At 54.1% G+C, this 21,340-nt stretch overlaps 2 protein-coding genes and 1 non-coding gene across 12 annotated transcripts, besides 9 other annotated features; all 3 read right to left on the bottom strand.

The window, feature by feature from the left end:
• Positions 55-13,616, bottom strand: SRRT (serrate, RNA effector molecule). 10 transcript variants are annotated; one of them, NM_015908.6, is made up of 20 exons: positions 13,391-13,616; positions 13,007-13,146; positions 7,306-7,434; positions 6,914-7,060; positions 6,478-6,666; positions 4,480-4,649; positions 4,167-4,351; positions 3,881-3,979; positions 3,679-3,796; positions 3,349-3,506; positions 2,957-3,018; positions 2,778-2,856; positions 2,284-2,472; positions 1,751-1,924; positions 1,519-1,672; positions 1,206-1,399; positions 860-1,016; positions 576-677; positions 336-462; positions 55-245 (listed from the first exon to the last, which is right to left on the bottom strand). In NM_015908.6, the coding sequence occupies exons 2-20, from the start codon at positions 13,126-13,128 to the stop codon at positions 170-172; spliced, it is 2,631 nt and encodes an 876-aa protein (NP_056992.4). In that variant the 5' UTR covers positions 13,129-13,146; positions 13,391-13,616; the 3' UTR covers positions 55-169. The 10 variants fall into 10 exon arrangements, with proteins under 10 accessions (NP_056992.4, NP_001122325.1, NP_001122324.1 ...); NM_001128853.2 differs by having other exon boundaries at positions 576-665; NM_001128852.2 differs by having other exon boundaries at positions 3,349-3,503.
• Positions 2,182-2,915: an enhancer, noted in NCBI's record as "H3K4me1 hESC enhancer chr7:100483425-100484158 (GRCh37/hg19 assembly coordinates)". NCBI's record gives its function as "activates a minimal SCP1, AML or CMV promoter by ChIP-STARR-seq in naive H9 embryonic stem cells {active_cell/tissue: H9 hESC(naive)}" and the evidence as "EXISTENCE:reporter gene assay evidence [ECO:0000049][PMID:30033119]".
• Positions 6,939-7,776: an enhancer, noted in NCBI's record as "H3K4me1 hESC enhancer chr7:100478564-100479401 (GRCh37/hg19 assembly coordinates)". NCBI's record gives its function as "activates a minimal SCP1, AML or CMV promoter by ChIP-STARR-seq in naive and primed H9 embryonic stem cells {active_cell/tissue: H9 hESC(naive and primed)}" and the evidence as "EXISTENCE:reporter gene assay evidence [ECO:0000049][PMID:30033119]".
• Positions 13,135-13,364: a silencer, noted in NCBI's record as "silent region_18466". NCBI's record gives its function as "represses an Ori minimal core promoter by ATAC-STARR-seq in GM12878 lymphoblastoid cells {active_cell/tissue: GM12878}" and the evidence as "EXISTENCE:reporter gene assay evidence [ECO:0000049][PMID:35858748]".
• Positions 13,401-14,066: an enhancer, noted in NCBI's record as "NANOG-H3K27ac-H3K4me1 hESC enhancer chr7:100472275-100472939 (GRCh37/hg19 assembly coordinates)". NCBI's record gives its function as "activates a minimal SCP1, AML or CMV promoter by ChIP-STARR-seq in primed H9 embryonic stem cells {active_cell/tissue: H9 hESC(primed)}" and the evidence as "EXISTENCE:reporter gene assay evidence [ECO:0000049][PMID:30033119]".
• Positions 13,505-13,564: an enhancer, noted in NCBI's record as "active region_26392". NCBI's record gives its function as "activates an Ori minimal core promoter by ATAC-STARR-seq in GM12878 lymphoblastoid cells {active_cell/tissue: GM12878}" and the evidence as "EXISTENCE:reporter gene assay evidence [ECO:0000049][PMID:35858748]".
• Positions 13,775-13,824: an enhancer, noted in NCBI's record as "active region_26391". NCBI's record gives its function as "activates an Ori minimal core promoter by ATAC-STARR-seq in GM12878 lymphoblastoid cells {active_cell/tissue: GM12878}" and the evidence as "EXISTENCE:reporter gene assay evidence [ECO:0000049][PMID:35858748]".
• Positions 14,067-14,731: an enhancer, noted in NCBI's record as "NANOG-H3K27ac-H3K4me1 hESC enhancer chr7:100471610-100472274 (GRCh37/hg19 assembly coordinates)". NCBI's record gives its function as "activates a minimal SCP1, AML or CMV promoter by ChIP-STARR-seq in naive and primed H9 embryonic stem cells {active_cell/tissue: H9 hESC(naive and primed)}" and the evidence as "EXISTENCE:reporter gene assay evidence [ECO:0000049][PMID:30033119]".
• TRIP6 (thyroid hormone receptor interactor 6) lies at positions 15,265-21,332 on the bottom strand. The gene is made up of 9 exons (NM_003302.3): positions 21,113-21,332; positions 20,731-20,858; positions 20,486-20,611; positions 19,853-20,224; positions 18,256-18,349; positions 17,976-18,145; positions 16,998-17,176; positions 15,975-16,095; positions 15,265-15,547 (listed from the first exon to the last, which is right to left on the bottom strand). Exons 1-9 carry the CDS (start codon positions 21,219-21,221, stop codon positions 15,416-15,418), a joined length of 1,431 nt encoding a protein of 476 aa, NP_003293.2. The 5' UTR covers positions 21,222-21,332; the 3' UTR covers positions 15,265-15,415.
• Positions 20,545-20,644: an enhancer, noted in NCBI's record as "active region_26390". NCBI's record gives its function as "activates an Ori minimal core promoter by ATAC-STARR-seq in GM12878 lymphoblastoid cells {active_cell/tissue: GM12878}" and the evidence as "EXISTENCE:reporter gene assay evidence [ECO:0000049][PMID:35858748]".
• On the bottom strand, positions 20,612-20,683 carry MIR6875 (microRNA 6875). Its single transcript, NR_106935.1, has one exon. It is a non-coding gene; the product is annotated as a microRNA 6875 (primary transcript).
• Positions 21,085-21,234: a silencer, noted in NCBI's record as "silent region_18465". NCBI's record gives its function as "represses an Ori minimal core promoter by ATAC-STARR-seq in GM12878 lymphoblastoid cells {active_cell/tissue: GM12878}" and the evidence as "EXISTENCE:reporter gene assay evidence [ECO:0000049][PMID:35858748]".

Here is a 21,340-nt window from a genome sequence, read left to right as displayed (position 1 = left end):
TCAGGAGTTACTCTGGAAGGATGGAGGAGTTATGTAACACACGAGAGTCAGGAGCCCTGTGGAAGTGCTTTTATTAGCAGTAAGGCTGATCGTACAAAAAATTCTCAGAGCTTCATAGGACAAGGTAGTACAAGTATGGATGATACAGGACTGAGGAACGGGGGACGGCTCAAAAGAAATCAACATCGTCTGGGGCATCCAGGTCCCGATATTCCACAATGGCCCTTGGGTCTCCACGAACCATCCTGTGAGGTGAGAGGTACAGGATGAGAGCTGAGGGCTCCCAAAAGGGAGTCTGCAGGCGGCAACAAAGCTTGGGCGTCTGCCCTCCTCACCTGTTGCGAGGTTTCCCAGGATAACCTCCCTGGCCTCGGAAGGCATCATAGTTCCCTCGACCAGCACCATACGGGGCATGGGGGTATGGAGGGCCTCCTGTGGGGACTGCAGGGCGGACAGCACCAGCTATGACAGAGATCAGTGTTGAGTTGCAAAACTATGTCCTCAATTCCATCCTCTGTTTTCTTCTCCCAAAGCCACACACTCACCAAGCCCCTTCATCTCCCTCCTGTACTTACCTCCATAGCCCAAGATCGGGGGCCGGGGCTGACCATAGGGCATCAGGCCCTGGGGAGTCTGGTGTGGGTAGGGGAGTCCTGGGGTCAAACCTGGGGGGAGTACAACACGGACAGGGACATGAATTACTGCGGGGGCGGGGAGGGGGATACGGGTACAATTGACTTCTAGGGCTATGGCCTGAGGATGGGGCAGAAACTTCTCGGGGTGACACGTTAAAGAGAAACAGGAGTCCCTGGGTAGTCAAGGAAGAGGGCACATGCGACCTTCATGGATCGTATCTTACTCTGGGCGGGGCCAGGTGGCTGGGCTGGCTTGATCTCAGGCAGAGCTGGGCGCTTAGCATCAGTGAGGAAGTTGTTAAAAAACGCGACTTCCTTTTTCACTTCCTCAATTTTCTCTGCATGCTTGTTGAAGATATGTTTGCGCACAAACTCAGGACCCTGGGTGGAGAGAGGAGAGGGGTCAGGACAGCCACATAAGGGTTGCCTCGCTCCCAGGCCCGAGCTGGAAGGATTCCCAGCTCCCGCCTGCCAGTGCAGTAAGCAGTTCCCCCACCCCTGCCCAGGGGGCTTCCTGTCTCAACCCCACCTCCCACCACCGTAGCACGGCCATTCTCCAACATCCCACACCTTGAATTTCTTGCCACTGAGAGGACACAGCCACTTATCCTTGCCCAGTTCCTGCGTGTTGGAGGTGACGAACTTCTCCACTTCCTGCTCTGGGTCTTTGCGCCCCATCTTCTGGGCCTCTTCCTCTGAGAGTGACTCCCGCACACTCAGCAACGGCGTGAGCTTCTCCTCAAAAGTCTTCTGCCACTCCAGCACTGTGGTTTGGGAACAGAGGAAGGAAGGTTGGCAAGGGAGCCAGAAGGAAGGATGGTGGCAAGGGGCTGGAGGACCAAGGCCAGGGGCAGCCGGGAACAAAGGGGAACCTGGAGCTCACCTTCCCCGTGACTGATGCGGTTGGGTGGCATGGGCCCCCGAACGTGGATGATCCCACAGCGATTGGGCATCTCGTCCTCGTTGGGGTACTCACAGGTGTTGTAATAATCCAAGGAATGCACGATGCGCAGGTAAAGGAGGAGCTTGTCCAAGACCTAAGGGAAGTGAATGCGAGCGTTCAGCTCCTGCCCTCACCGCCCGAGCCCCCACGTGCCCCGCGCTGCCACTGGCACCTTAATCAACTTCTCATCCCGCTCCACGTTGATCTCTGCCGGGTTCCCTTCCTTAGGAGGCTCCTCAGGAGGAGCGCCCCCGCTGCTCCCCAGCAGCTCCTCCTCCTCGGCGCTTACTTCCTCGATCAGGTAGTCGGTGATATTCTTCAAGATCGGGTTTTGCGAGGGCAGGCTCTGATGGGAGGAAGAGAAGCAAGTAAGGCAGAGAAGACCTTCAGAGGAGGTAACCTGAGACTTTCCACAAGTGAAAGAGCAGCGAGGGGACAGGAGTTCACCGGACATAAATGGCACCTTTTGCCCCCTTGAGATTTGTCTTTATTTTAGCTTTTGTTCCACCCCAGCCACAAATGATCACTAGCATCCCCCCAGTTCTGCTGGAATCTGGAGGTGCTGCTACCCACACACGAAGGGGCAAATGAGTGAGCAGGCGAGTGGGTGCAAGGGTTCAAGGCTACAGATAGGTAAGGTCAGAGGTGCCCACAGCAGAGGCACTACCAGTTGCTTCTGACAAAGTCCTTTGGGGAGTCACTGACCGTGGGCAGGGGAGGCGTCCCTGGTTCTGAGGCCCAAAGCTGTGTCCTGTCATCCAGCGTGTGGATCAGCTTGGCCGCCAGCTTGATGTCGTTGCGCACAATCTGCTTGTGCTGGGTGATGCCGTTGATGTTGCGAACGCGCCGGGTCAGGTCCCTGTTCACACCAGGGCTCAGCTCACACTCCCGGAGCTGGAGGGCAGACATCATCAGCAGCTTACCCCACTTACCCCGCTTGCCAGAGAAACAGCAGCTCTAAGACCCTTCCCTCTTGAGCACCAGCGATTGATCAGACTGCGAGCTCCCTGGGGACGGGGACCACATAGGTTCCGTCCATGCTAACGCCCTAGAGCCTTGCCCAGAGACAACGTAGCCAGACAAAACGGTCAAAGAGTGTGCAGAACAACCAAACTATCAGATGAACAAAGTCACACAGAGGTCCCGTGTGGCACAGAGTCTCCCTTCCTCTTCCCCACAGTCCCACCCCCAGCACTCACACGGATGTTCTGCAGGTTCCAACAGATCTCTTTAATGTTAACACTGCGGTCGAAGGTCACCCAGCCACGACGGAAAAACCTACACAAGAAAGAAAATGTTAGCATAGTCAAGCGAGGGAGTTGGTGTTGGCCATTAACGTTCCCCTGCACTTTTCCCTCCAACGCACCGAGTTACTCACCTCCTCTCTGGCTGGGGCTCTGAGAGCGCCACCCGCATAAAGCCTGGGTACCTTTTACAAAGCTGCAAGAAGCAGAAAAGCAGCCCCACAGTGACTCAAGGATTCATTCGCTTCTTCCTCCAATCCCCCACTGCCCTCAGAACCCTAGGGACTAACTGCCTTATCACTCTTCCCATCCTTGGGCAGGGAAAAACCACTAAAGGGCTTCAGAACACCAGCACCTGAAAGCCAATGGCGCTATCAGGACTAGTCCTCGGAGGCCATGGAACCTGGGGAAGGGGCCTCCCTAGCAGGTGAAACGGGGGCATCTGTCACAGGCAGGGCCCCACTGCCTTCCCTCTACCCTCCACTTCTCCATCAGCCCTGCCCTGACTCCACGGGTCCCCACTCACGGAGATGATCTCGGCCCGGGAGATGTTGGGCGCGATGTTGCGCATGAAGAGGGAGCAGGTCTTATGCAGCGGCCGCGGCTTGCACTCCAGCCCCGCGGCGTCCTTGGGCTTCTCCCATTCTTCTTCCTTGGGCTTCTCCTTCTCCTTGAGCGCTTCTTCTAGGCAGGAAGGGGGGTAGGAAGGAGTTGGTGCATTTTTATTACTGATTGTGGTGGGGAGGATACAGAAGCTTTCCCCTAAAAGCCACCCACCCTCCCGTCAATGTCGCCAACCTCTCACCTCCCCACCCGCATTAGGAGAACGCACTTTAAAGCAGAAAAGAAACCCTACCGGCCTCCTCCTTCTCCTCCTCAGCCTGGCCGCTCTCTGACTCCGACTCAGACTCTGACACGCTGCCCTCGTCAAAGCTGTCGTCACCACTGTGCTTCCGGTTCCGCTTCTTGCTACTCTGTGTGAGCCACAGCAGAGGGGACAAGTCAGCGTGCCAGAACCCCAGCCCCAACACTCTGACCCCAGGCCACAGACACCTCACCTTTTTGGCTTCCTTCTCGGAGTCTTCTTTCTTCTCTTCCTTGTCCCCATCACCCTCCGACTTCTTTGTTTTGTCATCATTAGAACTGTCATTCTCAGCCTATGGTAAGAGACAACCACTGGGGATGTCAAACCTCCCCTCCCACCTTTATCAGAGGGCCCCCACCCCCACAGCTGAGGCCACAGGTTCATTTTCCCCAGCCCCCTACTTCTAGCTCCTATGGACCCCTACCCGCCCCCCTCCCCCAGGCTGCCAGGGACAACACTAGGAGACCCAGGGCTCGGACCTGCTTGCCGTCTTCCTTCTTCTCATCCTTGTCGTTGGTTTTGCGCTCCCCGTCCCCTAGGCCTGCTCCAGCCCGTCCTTCTTCTTTCTTGCTGGGCTCCCCAGGCTTTCCTGCCTGCTCCTCCTCCTCCTCCTGCTCCAGGATGCGAAGATCATTCTCCGTGCCTCCTTCCATCTTAATCACGGCTACCAACAAAGGGAACAGAGGTCATGACCCCAGGGCCCTGGCTCCTGTCAACCGGCTTCTACCTGATCCCCAGACACCCCCACCCCCATGGGGCCCAGATGCCTGCCACCCCTCCAAATCCGCACACCTGCATCCAGCATCTTGACAATGGCATCAGCTTTGTCTATGTCCAGGAGAAGGTTATCAAACCAGCCAGTCTCCATGAGGGACAGGAAGACCCTCAGTCGGTTTTGCAGGGCCCCCCGGGCCTCCTGCCGACGCTTCCCCACCTCATCTGGGTGGTACTTAGACCGAAACCTGGGAACGAAGCGGGGGAGGGAAAGACAAAACAGTTATTGGAAGCCAAGGCCAGGATGTGGGAAGGGGCCCAGGAAAGACAGGGCATATCCCCCTTCCTCTCACAACCACAAAAGGTCATCAAAATAGAGAGATTAAGGGATAGGGGTGCGCTAGAACCACCCAACACCCCAAAAGGAACCAGAAGTTGTGTTCTGTGAAGATTTGGGGGAGAACCAGGAACTAAGAGCTCTGGATTTGGGAAGACCAATGACTACAGGGGGACGCCAGGGTAGGAGAGGCAGATTTACCACTTTAAATCTCTGGGAAACACTAACGTAGTAAAAAGGTGTCATTTCCCAAAGCTTCAGAGAGGAAGGCTCAGGAAATAGCAGGCCCTGAAGAACCTCCCTCTCCTCACCAACCCCAAACTGCAGTCATTCAAAAACTGCTCCCGCCAACTCCCTCCACCCCGAGGTGGAAGACAGAGGGCCAGATAGCAAAAGCCCAGAGGCAGGGCACCTTTCTCCACCCGTGGGAAGATAAGCAAGACGGTGAAGGGACAGGAAAGACCGAAGGGAGACACTGGAGTGCCCTTTAGAGCCTCAGGTCCTGCCCACAGGGGGAGAGAGAGGAGAGGGCTGGAAGGTTAGGGAGAAGAAAAATAAAACATTTCAAATAGGACCTCAGAGGGAAAACAGAAGAAATGAGGAGTATGAGGAAAAGGGGAAAGGGAGGAAAGGGGAGAGTGTGAGAAAGTCCCAGAAACCGAAAACAAAGGGAAAAACTAAAGATCAGAGAGAGAAACTAAAAAAACCAACAGGGAAGAAGGTGGTGTTAGGCAGGGAGCAAGAACAGAAACAGAGAAGAATGAAGGTGCTGAGAGATTAGGACAAAGACACAGAGCAATTCGAGAGAGGGGACAGCGAAGACAGAACAGAACCACGAGTGGGGCAGAAGAGGAAAGGAAAGCCGCAGGCATCACCTCCAGGATCTTTACCTTGGCCGCTTGGTCAAACAGAGCTCAAGATTTAACTAGCGGCGCCCAGGGCCCATGCTGGCTGGTGGGCCACCGGCTGGCTCCTGGCTGGGCGCCCGGCCGAGATGCCCACGCGGGACTCCGCAGTGGGGCCTGACTGGCTAGCTGCCTGAGCAATCACATTCAGCTAAACCGCTGCATTGTGCACAGCAGTGCCCTGGCCTGTCTGCCTGGCCGGGGCCGCGCAGCTCAGCCCAGGGGCTCATGTATGGGCTGGGTATGGTGGGGGTGGAGGTGGGTTTGCTCCGAGCTCCGTCGATGAGCGGGTGTAGTTCCCAGTTCTGGCTCTTTTCAAGGAGGAGGAGCAGAAAGAGGATGAGGAGGAGGAGGAGCAGGAAGGGGGGAAAAGATGGTTGATTAAAATTAAAACATCCACAAAAGGAAAAAAAAATTAAAATTCTTTTTCTGTCAAACGACCGAGATCTTTGCTTTTCTTGTCTGGATTCACTCGTCGCTTTAGGAGGACGCCACAGCCACACAGGGTCCTGGTGATCAGGGATGACAATGACCCAACACCAACAAGTGGGAAGCAGTCTGTCTGCTGCCCCAAGGGGCCAAGTGGCTCTGGCCTGCTGCCTGGAGGTGTCCCACTCTCTGAGGACAGCAGGACAGGAGACAGGGCGGGGCGGGGGCCGTGGCAGTTGCTGAAGTGAGGGGGAGACCCCATCAGCCAATGCTGTCATACTTCCCGACCCCCGCCCCCAGAAAGTTCTGGACAGGGAAAACTGGGAAGAGGACAGGGCTGTGGCTCCACCAGCGGGGCCAGGGGGACATGCCAGGGCAGAGGTCCAGGGAAGTAGGGGCACTCACCACTCCTCATCTTTGTGCGCCAGGAAGAAATCCTGCATCTGTTGCCTCCGGAAATCCAGCTTGTAGTCATTATAGCGCTTGACGGCCTCCGTCTCATCCACCGAGTCATCCAGGGAGAGGAGAAACTCCTTGAAGGTCTTCATCACGGGCGGCGGCACACCCAGGTCAATCTCTGCAATGCTGCCCAGCCTGGAGGGGACCCCGGTCAGGAAGGCTTGGTTTTTGGGGAACGGTGGGAGGCTACAGGGGCCAAAGTAGCTGGGGCCCCTTTACTTTGTCCACCATGGACATCACCCCAAACCCCAACAGCTACCACCCCTACCCCAGGGACATGCCTCTGTGTGCCTGACCCGCTCCCTGGCTTCAGCCATGGCCTTCAGCAACCCCATCCATCCCCCAGGCCTACCAACCCTCTTCTGAGAAGCCCCACCCTTACCTGGCCTGGATAGGCAGGACATGGTGCTGCATGATGTGGACGTCAGGGTGGCCCCAGGGCTGAGGGGGGCCATAAGTTGGGCCCCCACCCCCCCCAGCATAGGGCATCTCATAGCCACTGTGGTATGGGTCAGAGCTGTGCTCATCCCTGAAGGTGGGGGACACAAAAGTAAAGCAGAGAAGGGAGTCACCTCCCCAGAGCATGGAGGATGGACAGACGGGGGTACACACAGCATGGTCTCCCAGACAAGGGTTTCAAGGGACAAAGTAACGATGGGTGATGGGAAGTTGAGAAAAGGAAATGACAAAGATTTAGGCACAGGTGAGGGGAGAAAGGGGAGGCCCAGGTGGAACTGAGGCAAAGGGGAGGAGAGGGAAACCGCTCCATCTCACCAGTCTCTCCTCATGCGCTTCTGTGGCGGGCTGAGTTCGTGGCGAGGTGGCGAGAAGCGCTCTCGCCGATTCCGGTCATAGTCCCGATATTCACCCCGACTACGGCGCTCACGGCCACGGTCCCACTCTCTGGCAGTAAGAACAAGTAACAAAGATTAAAGGCCAGGCACAGTGGCTCATGCCTGTAATCCAAGCACTTTTGAGGCCGAGGCAGAGAACACTTGAGGCCAGGAGTTCGAGACCAACCTGGGCAATAGTGAGACCCCCCCCCGCCCCCCGCCATCCCTACAAAAAATTTTTTATTTTTTAAAAAGGTAACAATAATTAAAGATACAGCTGGATATGCCACAGCCACATTCCTAAACAGGCCCTTCTTACACCCTGAGATACCAGACTAAAAAGCCTACAATTATAAAACTTCGCTCCTAACAGAAAAAGATTTTTCTCTAGTCAGGGCAAGCCACTGCACTCCAGCCCTGGCAACAGAGACCCTGTCTCAAAACAAAACAAAACAAAGATTCTTGTCTAACTCCATGAGTTCAGCCAATACCCAAGAACTGATGGTTCTCCAACTCTTCTCCCAGCCTGGCCTTCCGCCTGTGCTCCAGACCCACATGAATCACCCCTGCTACAGGCCCACTTACGGGCAGGTCGCGGCTGCAGCAAGCTTCGACTGCACCAGTGCACTCAGCCCGGGTGACAGAGGGAGACCCTGTCTCTAAAAATAAAACAGAAAACTTTTTAAAAATCATCCCCTACTAGAAGTCCATCACCCCCTCAAATTCAGCCTGTCAGAATCAAGCCTATTCAGCCGGGTGCGGTGGCTCACGCCTGTAATCCCAGCACTCTGGGAGGCCGAGGCGGGCGGATCACGAGGTCAGGAGATCGAGACCATCCTGGCTAACATGGTGAAACCCAGTCTCTACTAAAAATACAAAAAAAAATTAGCCAGGCGTGGTGGCAGCCACCTGTAGTCCCAGCTACTCGGGAGGCTGAGGCAGGAGAATGGCGTGGACCCGGGAGGCGGAGCTTGCAGTGAGCCGAGATCGCGCCACTGCAAGCCAGCCTGGGCGACAGAGCAAGACTTCATCCCCCCCACCAAAAAAAGAAAAAAGAATCAAGCCTATTCATCCCACCACTATGGGCCCAAATGTCTTTTCCTCCTCCCGCTCCCCACTCTGCTGTATCAACGGAACAGCATCTCTCGCCAGCTGTCATTCACTACCCTCACCGCTAATTACTGCTCCTGCTAATCCTCTGCCTCAAAGCCTATCAAAGCTGTCCCACTCTCTGCCATCCCCACACACCCTGTCCTAGTCTTTGTCCTTGGCCAGTGTGGCTCCTGCAGCCCTGGCTGCCCGCCTGCTTCTGGTCTCTCGCTTCTGTCTCCCCACTGGCAGGCAGACCTTCCTCAAACACAAGTCTCATCACATCACACCGTTACTTCAATGTCAGTAAGCAACACTATTGTTTTAACTTGGGCTCCTGGCTGTCACTCCAGCCTCTCGACCAGTCACCAGCCTCTCCACCAGTCACCAACCTCCCAACCAATCACCAGCCTCCCCCATCCTCATCTTCTTCTTCTTCTTTTTTTTTTTTTTTTGGAGACAGTCTCACTCTGTCGCTCAGGCTGGAGTGCAGCAGCACAATCACTCTCGGCTCACTACAGCCTCCGCCTCCTGGGCTCAAGCAATTCTCCTGCCTCAGCCCCTTAATACTCTTAAAAATGACTGAGGACACCAAAGAGTTTCTGCTTATGTGGGTTACATCTATCGATACTTACTATATTCAAAATTAAAACGAAATGTTCCAAAACCTTCATTTTTAAATTACACAGTAAGATGAAACACATTACATGTTTTTATGAAAAATCGTTTTCCAGAAAAATTTTGGTGAGAAAAAGTGGCATTGTTTTTACATTGTCACCAATCTCTCCAAGTTCTGGCTTTGTAGAGGATAGCTTCTACACTGAATCTGTTGAGATATTTTGTTCTGCTTGAAAAATGAGGCAGGCCGGGCATGGTGGCTCACATCTGTAATGAATGCTAGCACTTTGGGAGGCCGAAGCAGTGGATTGCTTGAGCCCAGGAGTTCAAGACCAGGCTGGGGCAACATGGTGAAACCACCTTTCTACTAAAAATACAAAACTTAGCTGGCTGGCTGGAAGTGGTAGCTCATGCCTGTAATCCTAGCACTTTGGGAGGCCAAGGCAGGCAGATCACTTGAGGTCAGAAGTTTGAGACCAGCCTAGCCAACATGGCAAAACCCTGTCTCTGCTAAATACACAAAAATTAGCCGGGCGTGGTGGCAGGCACCTGTAATCCCAACTACTCGGGAGGCTGAGGTGGGAGAATCGTTTTGAACCCGGAAGATGGAGGTTACAGTGAGCCCAGATCACGCCACTATACTCCAGCCTGGGCAGAGTGAGACTCCATCTGAAAGAAAGAATGAAAGAAAGAAAGAAAAGAAAGAAAAAGAAAGAAAGGAAGGAAAAGAAAAGAAAAGAAAGGAAAAGAAAAGAAAAGGAAGGAAGGAAGAAAGTAGGTTAGCTGGGTGTGATGGCATACACCTGTAGTCCCAGCTAATCAGGAGGCTGAGGTGAGAGGATCACCTAAGCCTGGGGAAGTCAAGGCTGCAGTGATCTGTGGCCATGATCGTGCCACTGCACTCCAACCTGGGCAACAGAGTAAGACCCGTCTCAAAAAAAAAACAGAAAATCAGGCCTCATACTGATAAGGAGTTGGAAAGGCCTTTTCAGATTAACTGTAGATATTCATTTTGGATACTACCCAAAATTCAACAAGAGGTAGGTTCTTTTTTTTCTTTTCTTTATGCTACCTTGTCCAAGAAGGAAGTAGTTTCTCACAGGCTAGTTAGAACCTTCAATCTGAAATAGTATCAGTGAATATTTCTTTCTCTGCTGCATTAAAATCCACTGTTCTATCTTTCCCTTTCAATGGACCTGGATTATGTCTCACCCAATATCAAAATGTACTCATCAGCATCACTGCCTATCTCACCAAGAAAGTCTTTACTTAATGGGAAGCTGTCAAGCTCACATTAGTAGAAGTTTTCCAAAATTTTAATTTCCTTTTTTTTTTTTTGACAGGGTATCTCTCTGTTGCCCAGGTTGGAATGCAGTGGTGCCATCAAGACTCACTCCCACCTCCACCTCCCAGGCTCAAGCCATCCTCCCGCCTCAGCCTCCGGAGTTGCCGGGACTACAGGCATGTGCCACCACCCCCAGCTAATTTTTGTATTTTTTTGTACAGACAGGTTTCACCACGTTGCCCAGGTTGGTCTCAAATTCCTGGGCTCAAGCAATCCACCCACCTTCGCCTCCCAAAGTGTTGGGATTACAGGCATGAGCCACTGCGCCGGCCCAAAATTTTAATTTTCACTGGAAAGTTCTACTTCATCACTGGCAACAAATACCAACAGCTTACACTGAAGTAACAGGTTCTCAGTTCATTTTCAAGATGTCTGCCAAATACCCAAGTATGAACAATCACTGTTTGTCATTCATTCAAGTAAAAATAACATCCCATGGAAAAAAGCTGTTAGTTCAGCTCACTCAATCACATGCGTACTCTTGCTCAAGACAACTAACGCGGGCCTGTAATCCCAGCACTTTGAGAGGTCGAAGCAGGTGGATATGTGAGGTCAGGAGTTCAAGACCAGCTGGCCAACATGGTGAAACCCCATCTCTACTAAAAATACAAAAATTAGCCAGGCAGAGTGGCACGCACCTGTAATCCCAGCAACTCGGGAGGCTGAGGCAGGAGAATCACTTGAACCCAGGAGGTGGAGGTTGCAGTGAGCTGAGATCGCCCCACTGCACTCCAGCCTGGGTGACAGAGCAAGATTCTGTGTCAAAAAAAAATTTTTTTAAAAAAGACGTACAGTCAAGAGTCCAATCTAATCAAATTTAAATGTTTTACTCTTTCATCAAGAATCATTGATGGAAGTGGCTTTTTTTTTTTTTTTTTTTTTTGAGACAGAGTCTTGCTCTGTCGCCAGGCCGGAGTGCAGGGGTGTGATCTCAGCTCACTACAACCTGTGCCTCCTGGGTTCAAGCAATTCTCCTGTCTCAGCCTCCCAAGTAGCTGGGACTACAGGCGCGCACCACCATGCCTGGCTAACTTTTGTATTTTTAGTAGAGACAGGGTTTCACAATGTTGGCCAGGATGGTCTCAATCTCTCGATCTCGTGATCTGCCCGTCTCGGCCTCCCAAAGTGCTGGGATTTCAGGTGTGAGCCACTGGGCCCGGCTGGCTTTTTTTTTTTAACTCTTTGCTGTCACTGCCTTGATGTTTGGTAAAGCATCAGCGGTTTTACCCATCATTGCTATGGCACCAACAGTGGAAATGGCAATAATATGTAAACATTACCACAAAAACTAATTTTAGCCTCGGAGACCCCCTATGGTCTGTGGACATCCTGAGAAACAGGACTCTAACCAAACTAGAATATGCTAAAATCACACGTTATGTCCACAACTCCAAGCTGTTCATGTCACTCGTGTCTGGGGAATTCCCACTCATCTTTCCAAGTCTAGCCAAGTGTCACTTTCCAGTGGGTCCCTGACACACAACCTCCAGCACCGCTCCCCTCCTTTAGAGATCTGTTCCCTCAATGCTTACCCTCTTTATAACTTCCACTATATATACTCATTTACAGAATACATCCACTGCCATTCTGATCCCCCATGCCAAGCTCACTGTAACACCCTAAGGTCAATAACCACATCTTATAATCAATCCAATCAGCACCGCCCTATGAACTCTGAGATTTTAGGCAAAACAGTGACAAGAAACCTAATCATATATTGTCAGGGAAATAATCTGACGACCTCTCCAGTCAGATCAACTCTATATTATTATTTTTCTGAAGCAATCCTCCTAAAATATAATTTACAACCTGGGCAACAGAGCAAGACGCTGTCTCTACAAAAAATAATTTTAGACCAAGCACTGGCTCATGCCTGTAATCCCAGCACTTTGGGAGGTCGAGCTGGGTGGATTACCTAAAGTCGAGAGTTCCAAACCAGCCTAGCCAACATGGTGAAACCCCGTCTCTACTAAAAATACAAAAATTAGACGGGCGTGGTGGCAGGTGCCTGTAATCCCAGCTACTCGGGAGGCTGAGGCAGGAGAATTACTTGAACCCCAGAGGCGAAGGTTGCAGTGAGCCAAGATTGCGCCATTGCACTCCAGCCTGGGCGACAGGGCAAGACTCTGTCTCGAAATAACAATAATAATTTTTAAAAGTTAGGCGGGCGTGATGGCCTCCCCCTGGAGTCCCAGCTTCTCAAGAGGCTGAGGCGGGAGGCTCGGTTGAGCCCGGGAGGTGGAGGCTGCTACGACTGCATCAATGCACTCCAGCCAGGGCAGCAGAACAAGACCCCATCTCAATAACAAAACAAAAAAAAGCAAAAAAGCACGCTTTTCGTGCATGTATAAACAGTGCTTCTTCATACTCAAACTCTTAGCTCTATAGCTCTGATCTGCAGAGAATTTCAAAAACCAAGCCACAGCTAGTTATTTGGCCAACAGCAAATAGGCTGAACCACAGAAAACGGTCCAATGAGCCATTTCATAGGATTCGCCCTCATAAAAATTACAAGGGGGAGAAAGAAAAGCGACGCGGGTGGAGTGAAACGGCATGAAACGGGGACAAGATGAAGTTAAAAACGGCTCACCTGTCATTCCAATCGTCCCCTCGACGTCTTTCATCTCTCTCGCGGGAACGGTCGTAGTCGCTGCGCTCTCTTCTGAACTTGTCCCTGCGCCTTCGATCGTACTCGTCATCACTGTCACCCATGGCACGGTCTGAGGGGGCCTGGGGACCGGGGAGAGGCGGTAGGAGTGGTGCAAAAGGACGAGCGGAGGAAGGGACCGTCCCTCGCGGGCAGCTCGCCCGCTTCCCTCCCGCCAAGGCCAGCCCTCCGCGGCCCCCACCATCCTAGGCCTGAGAACGCGGCTCCAACACCTCCACTCGCCCCGAGTTTCTCCGCGCCCGCCCCCGTGGACCCCGGTTCCTCTCCCGCCCCAGCGGGGCCCCCCAGGCTCCTCCCCTCCCCCACCTTGGTGCGGCCGCGGCCGTTGGACTCGCGCTCGGACGGGCTAGATTTCAGGGCGACCTGGGTCGCGGGCGCGCGACGAGGACTTCGAGGAGGGCGAGACGGAGACGGAGCTCTTGAGTAGAGGGCCGAAGAGAGGCGAACAAAAGTGGGACAACCGGGGATGGGCAGTAGCGCGCGCAGCCCGCGCTGCGCCTGCGTCACCCACGCCTCCGAGGCACAAAGCTCCACCCTCGCGGCCGGAACTGGAACTAACAAACCGAGCGCGAAGGGCGGGGAGAGCAGGGCGTGATGGGAAAGGGGCGGGGATCTCGCAAGTCTCGCGCGGCTTTTCGAGACGATAACGGCTCGAGCGTTAGGAACTACGGGACCTCGGCTGGGCCAAGCGCGGCCTCGGGAGGCGAACAAGCCCTCTGGGCGCGAAGGGAGAGCGGAAGTCGAGGATCGCGCGACCCCAGATGTGTCGGGGTCCTAAGACGGTTCTCATCCAGCCATGTTCCCCCCACGGGCCTCCTGACCTCACCGGGGGTGATTTCGTCCCCTCCTCGGGCAGGGCGTGGGCTTGGGAAGCGCGGGCGCTTAGGGGATGGAAGGTGGAAGCAACCATTTTAAAGCATCGTATCCCACCATTTTCTGCTCCAAATATCCAGCCAAAATTGGGTGCCACAGTGCGCACTAAATGCAAAGTCCGCCGTTCCTGCTTTTCCTCGACAAAGACGCCCCGTCTTTAAGTAAAATTGGCAGATCTCAGTCTTAACCCCGCTCAGTATTTGGATGAAATAGGCTGTAAGTTAACGCCCTAAACAGAGTATGGACCGCCCAGATTCAATGGATTACCACCCCCGGGAGTAACACCAAGGCCCCTCTCAGTGAATTGAGTGTGAGACTTAATAGGAAGACCAGCTGAGATGGCTCACGCCTGCAATCCCAGCGCTTTGGGAGGCCGACGTGGGAGAATCACTTGAGCCCAGGAGTTGGAGACCTGCCTGGGCAACATAGCAAGGCCCCTTTACAGAATATTTAGGGCCAGGCACATTGGCTCACACCTGTGATCCCAGCACTTGGGAAGGTCGAGGAGGGAGGACTTAAGCCCAAGAGTTCAGGACTAGCCTGGGCAACATAGCAAGATCCCATCTACACACAAAAAAATAATAACTGGGCTTGGTGGGATGCCCCTGTGGTCCTAGCTACTGGGGAGGCTAAGCCAGGAGGACTGTTTGAGCCCAGGAGTTCAGGGCTGCAGTGAGCCTTGATTGCACCACTGCACTCTAGCCTGGGGAACAGAGTGAGGCCCTGTCTCAAAATAGATACATAGAGGAAATCTTGCCTCCTCCCTGAGGCGTGCTTGCTCCCAGCACTGAGAGGAGGGTAGTGACGGATTACAAGAGTTGTCAAAAAAAACTGGACCTGAGTCAAAAAGACCCAGGTTCCACCATTTAAGAACCATGCAATCTGGGGGAGTCACCTCTCAGCTCTGACATCCTCACATGTAAAAATGCAGACAGTGGCCAAGGGCGGTGGCTCACGCCTGTAATCCCAGCACTTTGGTTGGGTGAAGCGGGCAGATCACTTGAGGTCAGGAGTTCAAGACCACCCTGACCAAGGTGGTGAAACCCCGTCTCTACTAAAAATACAAAATTAGCCAGACGTGGTGGCGGGCGCCTGTAATCCCAGCTACTCAAGAGGCTGAGGCAAGAGAATCACTTGAACCTGGGAGGCAGAGGTTGCAGTGAGCCGAGATGGCACCACTGCATTCCAGCCTGGGTGACAGAGCCAGACTCCGTCTCAAAAAAAAAAGAAAAAAAATGCAGGCAGTAACAATGACTGGGCCTGTAATGGGCTACTGGGAGAATCAGATGAGACAACAGACTTGGAAGTGTTTTGTAAACTCGAGGGATTATTATTTCTTGATTGGAGAAAGAGAAGACAGCATTTGGTGACAAAGTCATACAGGTGGATGTCAGGGAGAGTGATCAATCAAAGGATGGGAACTGGAACTGAGAACCCAGCAGGTACTTCTAGGAAGACTCAGCAGTCAGTGGTGACGGTGGCTGAGAGCTCCTGGATGCGCCAGGCGCTGCAGGCCTTGCACAAGATGTGCCCATCCAGCGGGTAGCAGCCCTGACACTCGCCCTCAGAGGAGAGCAGCAGCCCACACTCCTGTTGAAAAAGAAGCAACAATTGGCCGGGCGCGATGGCTCACGCCTGTAATCCCAGCACTTTGAGAAGCCGAGGCAGGAGGATCACAAGGTCAGGAGTTCAAGACCAGCCTGGCCAATATGGTGAAACCCTGTCTCTACTAAAAATACAAAAATTAGCCAGGCATGGTGGCCAGCACCTGTAATCCCAGCTACTCAGGAGGCTGAGGCAGGAGAATCACTTGAACCCGGGAGGTGGAGGTTGCAGTGAGCCAAGATTGTGCCACTGCACTCCAGCCTGGGCAACAGAGCAAGACTCCGTCTCAAAAAAAAAAAAAAAAGAAAGAAGCAACAGGTTTCCATCAACCCCAGACCTCTGTGTTCCCCCTCATGCTCTACCCAGCACCCTAGACACTGCCAGCCCCTTGCACGTGCTGGGGGCCCCTGACCTCGCACTTGTAACAGCCAATGTGAAAACTTCGATCCAGAGCAACAATTCTCACAGTCTCCTCCTGACCTGGCTCAGGCATTATGGCCCCACCGCACACTGAGCATCTTGGGGCAAACTTCCTGCAGGGGAAGAGAACCAAGAAGGCCATCAAGCCTTGGGGTTGCAGGGCACCAACAATGGAACCCAGAGAAGGTGGGGCACAGGAGGGAATCAGAGAGGCCAGAGGTATGGCCTTAGGTCTTGGGGAAGGGACGATGTCAAAGAGAATGAGAGAGGCTAGGTGCAGTGGCTCTAGCCTGCAATCCCCCGACTTTGGGAGGCCAAGGCAGGAGGATCACTTGAGGCCAGGCGTTCAAGACCAGCCTAGGCAACACAGCAAGACGCTGTCTTTATTAAAATACAAAGAAGAAGACTGGGTGCAGTGGCTTACGCCTGCTATCCCTGCACTTTGGGCGGCCGAGGCAGGTGGATCGCTTGAGCTCAGGAGTTTGAGACCAGCCTGGCCAACATGATGAAAGCCTGTCTCTACTAAAAATACAAAAAAAAAAAAAAAAAAAAAAACTAGCCAGGCGTGGTGGCATGCGCCCGTAATCCCAGCTACTGGGGAGGTTGAGGCAGGCAAATCACTTGAACCCAGGTGGTGGAGGTTGCAGTGAGCTGAGATCGTGCCACTGCACTCCAGCCTGGGTGACAGAGTGAGACTCCATCTCAAAAAAAAAAAAAAAAAAACGAAGAAAACTAGCCAGGCATGGTGGCGTGTGCACCCGTAGTCCCAGCTACTCAGGAGGCTGAGGTAGGAGGATCACTTGAGCCCAGGAGTTGGAGGCTGCAGTGAGCTATGATCATGCCATTGCACTCCTGCCTGGGCAACAGAGTGAAACTCCGTCTCTAAAAAATAACAATAACAAAGAACGAAGGAGGGCCAGGGTTGGAAACAGGAAGAGACAGTCCTGGGGCATGAAGAGATGAGAGAGACAGGAAAGGTCAGACATTGTGAGACAAGGTGGAGGCCAGGCCTGACCTGTGAAAGTCCTCAATGCAGTGGATCTGGCTCGTAGCATCCACTGTGAAGGGGATGCCGTCGAGGCCGCGGTGACACACCACGCAGGTGAAGCAGCCAGGGTGGTAGGCCTTCCCCATAGCCCGCAGGATCCGGTCCAGGATGGGCTGGGAGCACGTGGCACATTTCTCCAGGGTGGCCTGTTGGGAAGGAAGGCAGGAAGATCTGGGAGCGGGCGGGAGCCATGGCAGCTCAACAGGAACCCCAGCAACCCAGCCATCTAATTTCTGCAGCCTCCTGCATGCAGCCTCCTGCATGTGATTCGGTGAAAGGCAGACTTGAGCAGATCTGAGTTCAGGTCCCAGCACTATACACGGTATTTAAACACTATGAGAAAAACAGGAATCAGGCTGGGTGCAGTGGCTCACGCCTGTAATGCCAGCACTTTGGGAGGCCAGAGTGGGCGGACTGCTTGAGGCCAGGAGTTTCAAAACAGCCTGGCCAACATGGCGAAACCCTGTCTCTACTAAAAATACAAAAATTAGCTGGGTGTGGTGGTGGGCACCTGTAATCCCAACTGCTCGGGAGCCTGAGGCATGAGAATCGCTTGAACCAGGGCAGGCTGAGGTTGCAGTGAGCAGAGATCACCCCACTGCACTCCAGTCTGCGCAACAGAGCGAGACTGTCTCAAAAAAAAACAAAAAACAAAACCAGGAATCAGTAGTAATACCTGCCTCACAGGGGTGTCATGGGAATCTAACACATTCTCTTTAACTGTAAGATGCTCCACACTTGTAAGAGCTGCGTCCTTCCCTTCAGCCACCAGTGTTAAGCTACTTGCTTGATACTTGCAGAATTCCGCCCTGTTTGTACATCACTTTCAGTCGCCTGGCTTTTAGCACCGTTCCTCCTTTGGTCTTGGACGCTCTAGTTACCACCTTGGATGGAAGCCCCCTGCATCCAGCCACTGACTCCCTCCTCCCAGCCCCAGCCACTCACCACGTAGCAGCCCTCGCAATATGCCCTCCTCTCCACGGCGTAGAAATGCTGGCCGCGAAGCTGGGCCCGGCATGTAGAACATACAAAGCAGCCCACGTGAAAGACGCGATCAAGGGCCACAACCCCAGCCCCATCCCCAACCACATCTTCTCCGCAGCCACCACACTGGCCTGAGGACAGGGAGAAACAGCATCAGTCTTCACAGACCCAGGAAGCCACTGTCCCCTCTGTCTCCCAGCCTCCCTTCCCACGTCCCACCCACCCCACAGCCTCAGCTCACCAAAGTACTCCCCGCTGGGCGGGTGGTTCATGTCGTGAACCAGCTTCTTCGTCAGCCTATCCAGCTCATCCTCTGGAGGCTGGCTCAGGGGCACCTGGAAGGTGGGAATCGGGCTCGGTCCTACTCTAGCTCCTGATGCTGTAATACCAGGGCCCTCAGCCGCCAGGCCATGGCCTGTTAGGAACTGGGCCACACAGCAGGAGCTGAGCAATGGGCAAGCAAAGCTTCATCTGTATTTACAGCTGCTCCCCATCACTTGCATTACCGCCTGAGCTCCACCTCCTGTCAGATCAGCAGCGGCGTTAGATTCTCATAGGAGCATGAACCCTATTGTGAACTGTGTGTTCGAAGGATGTAGGTTGCAAGCTCCTTATGAGAATCTAATGCCTGATGATCTGTCACTGTCTCCCATCACCCCCAGATGGGACTGTCCAGTTGCAGGAAAACAAGCTCAGGGCTCCCACTGATCCTACATGATGGTGAATTGTATAATTGTTTCGGTATATATTACATTGTAATATACATTGTAATATATACCGAAACAATTATATATACTATATATTCTATTATTATTATAACAGAAATAAAGTGCACAATGAATGTAATGTGCTTGAATCATCCTGAAACCATCCCCCTCCCACCCCCTCCCATCCCCCTCCCCAGTCCATGGAAAAATTGTTTTCCCCAAAACTGGTCCCTGGTGCCAAAAAGATTGGGGACTGCTATAATGTCTCTGAAGGTGGCCAGGCAGTTCCAGCTAGAAAGCTCATCTGAGAACATCTCAGCCCAGGGGCCCGTAGGCAGTTCTTTTTTTTTTTTTTTTTTTTTTTTGAGACAGAGTTTTGCTCTTGTTGCCCAGGTTGGAGAGCAGTGGTGCGATCTCGGCTCACCGCAACCTCCACCTCCCAGGTTCAAGTGATTCTCCTGCCTCAACCTCCCGAGTAGCTGGGATTACAGGCATGTGCCACCATGCCTGGCTAATTTTGTATTTTTAGTAGAGACGAGGTTTCTCCATGTTGGTCAGTGTGGTCTCGAACTCGTGACCTCAGGTGATCCACCCACCTCAGCCTCCCAAAGTGCTGGGATTACAGGCATGAGCCACCGCGCTCAGCCCCAATGGGCAGTTCTATCCTGCTCCCCCGCACTGCCCTGCCCTTACCTATTCCACGTCCCAGACCTCTGACTCTGCTCCAAAACCAGCCCCTTGGCCAGGCGCGGTGGCTCAGGCCTGCAATCCCAGCACTTTGGGAGGCTGAGGCAGGCGGATCACCTGAGGTCGGGAGTTCGAGACCAGCCTGGCCAACAAACTGGGGTTTTAGTGAAACCCCGTCTGTACTAAAAATACAAAAATTAACCAAGCGTGGCAGCGTGTGCCTGTAATCCAGTTATTCAGGAGGCTGAGGCAGGAGAATCACTTGAACCCGGGAGGCAGAGGTTGCAGTGAGCCAAGATGGCACCACTGCACCCCAGCCTGGGCAAACAAGAGCAAAACTCTGTCTCAAAAAACAAAAAAGCCCCCTAAAACACCACCAGCCACCCCACCCAGTCGGTGTCCCATTGTCTGTAGGGCCTGAAATCCCAGTTCCCCAGGGCTCACCTGGGGCCCGTGCTCGCCTCCTCTTCCTCTTCCTGCAGGGCCAGAGACCCCAGCAGCTTCCTCTTTGGCCCCTGGCCCTGGCTCTCTCTGGCTCCTATAGCCAGGCCCCCAGACTTCACCTCGGCCTGGGAGAGGAAAGTGGGGGCCCGGGAGGGGCCCAGAGGCCTGAGAGGCTCCCCGCCTGGGTGGGCCGCAGCCCCTCACTGGCTGTGCCACCTTCACTTGCACGGGGAAGGCTGGGCCAGCCGGGGTGCTGGCGGTAGTGTAAGAGGCTGGAGTGGGGCCCCCATAGGGAGACGCTGGGAGCGGCGAGGCTGGATTTGGCTTCAGGGAGCCCGTGCGGTAGGCAGGAGGTGGCGGGGGCTCATATGCCTGAGGAGAAACGCAGGCCAGAAGTCGTAAGCAAGGACCCCACTCCAAGACCCACATTTGTGGAAATGACCCTGGCTGTGGGGAAGCACAGGCTTTTTGCATTTGACAAGGTCCCGTCCTCAAGTGGCTGACATGTTGGTACTTGCAGCCACGCTTCCTCCATGCTGGGGTGCACATTACACACATGGGGGATCGATCAGGCTGGGTCTGAGAGTCCAGAGAAGGGGGCAGGGTGCTGACGGGGAGGAGGGGCAGAGTCACCTGTCGGTCTGGTCGCCGTGACGCATGACCCCGACCCCCATTCAGCTCGGCCAGCGTGCTGCTCAGCAAGTCTATCTCGGCGTCCAGGCTTCCAGGGCGAAGGCCCCCCCTGTCTGCAGGGAGCCCCTGAGGATGGAGCCAGGGCAGGAAGAATGCAAATCACCATAGGCCTTCTCCTGTCCTGGGTCCCTCAGACTCGGTTCTGGGGGATCCCACATGTCCCACCCCACGATCCCGGGTCTCACCTGCGTGTGCTGGAGTACTCCATGGGACCCCACCCACGCCGGCCCCCGATCCTCCGGTCCCCCTGGGGCCTGGTAACACTGCTCAGATGGAAGGGGGCAAAAATTGACCCTGGGGTGGGGCTGGAGTGCTGGGTTGAGGGAAGAGAAATCAAAGGTGGGGTGGCGGAGGACAGGAGGGGTGTATATTTGAGGAGCCACCCTCTCCGCCTCTCGTTACCTCCTCCCCCAAATCTAGGGTCCCAAGAGAGCGCAGGCGGCTGTTCCCCCCGCCTCGGCTTGGGGAAGGGGCAGGAGGAAGCAGCCAGGGCGGGAGGCTGGAGCGGTAGGACAGAGGTGAGCGCCACAGCTGGGTGGCTCTTCTGTCTCACAAGGGCTGCCTTACCTGCTCCGTGGGCCGGTGGTGGCCCCGGGGTGCCGCGGGGGATCGCCCTCCCCTGAGGGGCTCTGGCGGGCTCCGGCTGCTTCGGGGGCAGCCAGGTGGGCCCCGACATGGCCTGGAAAGGGGGACTCCAGACAGCGGTCTTGAAGCCCCGAGCCTCTGGCCTTCACCCCCTCTTCCGTCCCGCACCTCGTTTGGGACTCCAGAAAAGAAAACTTTTTCTGGCTTTTT

This window comes from Homo sapiens, chromosome 7, assembly GCF_000001405.40.
Source record: "Homo sapiens chromosome 7, GRCh38.p14 Primary Assembly".
NCBI classification, from domain to species: domain Eukaryota; kingdom Metazoa; phylum Chordata; class Mammalia; order Primates; family Hominidae; genus Homo; species Homo sapiens.
Note: the sequence above shows the minus strand (reverse complement) of the source record. Positions and strands in the feature narration are given on the sequence as shown.

Bases quoted from the DNA above. Each gene is read 5' to 3' on its own strand.
- SRRT (XM_005250405.3), bottom strand. The intron at 3,019-3,348 runs GTGAGTGGGGAC...TGCTTCTTGCAG, and splicing joins CCCGGGCCGAGATCATCTCC to CTTTGTAAAAGGTACCCAGG. The intron at 463-575 runs GTAAGTACAGGA...TCTCTGTCATAG, and splicing joins CCCGATCTTGGGCTATGGAG to CTGGTGCTGTCCGCCCTGCA.
- TRIP6 (NM_003302.3), bottom strand. From the start codon at position 21,221: ATGTCGGGGCCCACCTGGCTGCCCCCGAAGCAGCCGGAGCCCGCCAGA. The intron at 20,225-20,485 runs GTGACTCTGCCC...GTTTCTCCTCAG, and splicing joins CACGGCGACCAGACCGACAG to GCATATGAGCCCCCGCCACC. The intron at 18,350-19,852 runs GTGAGCCCTGGG...CCCACCTTCCAG, and splicing joins GAGGCGAGCACGGGCCCCAG to GTGCCCCTGAGCCAGCCTCC.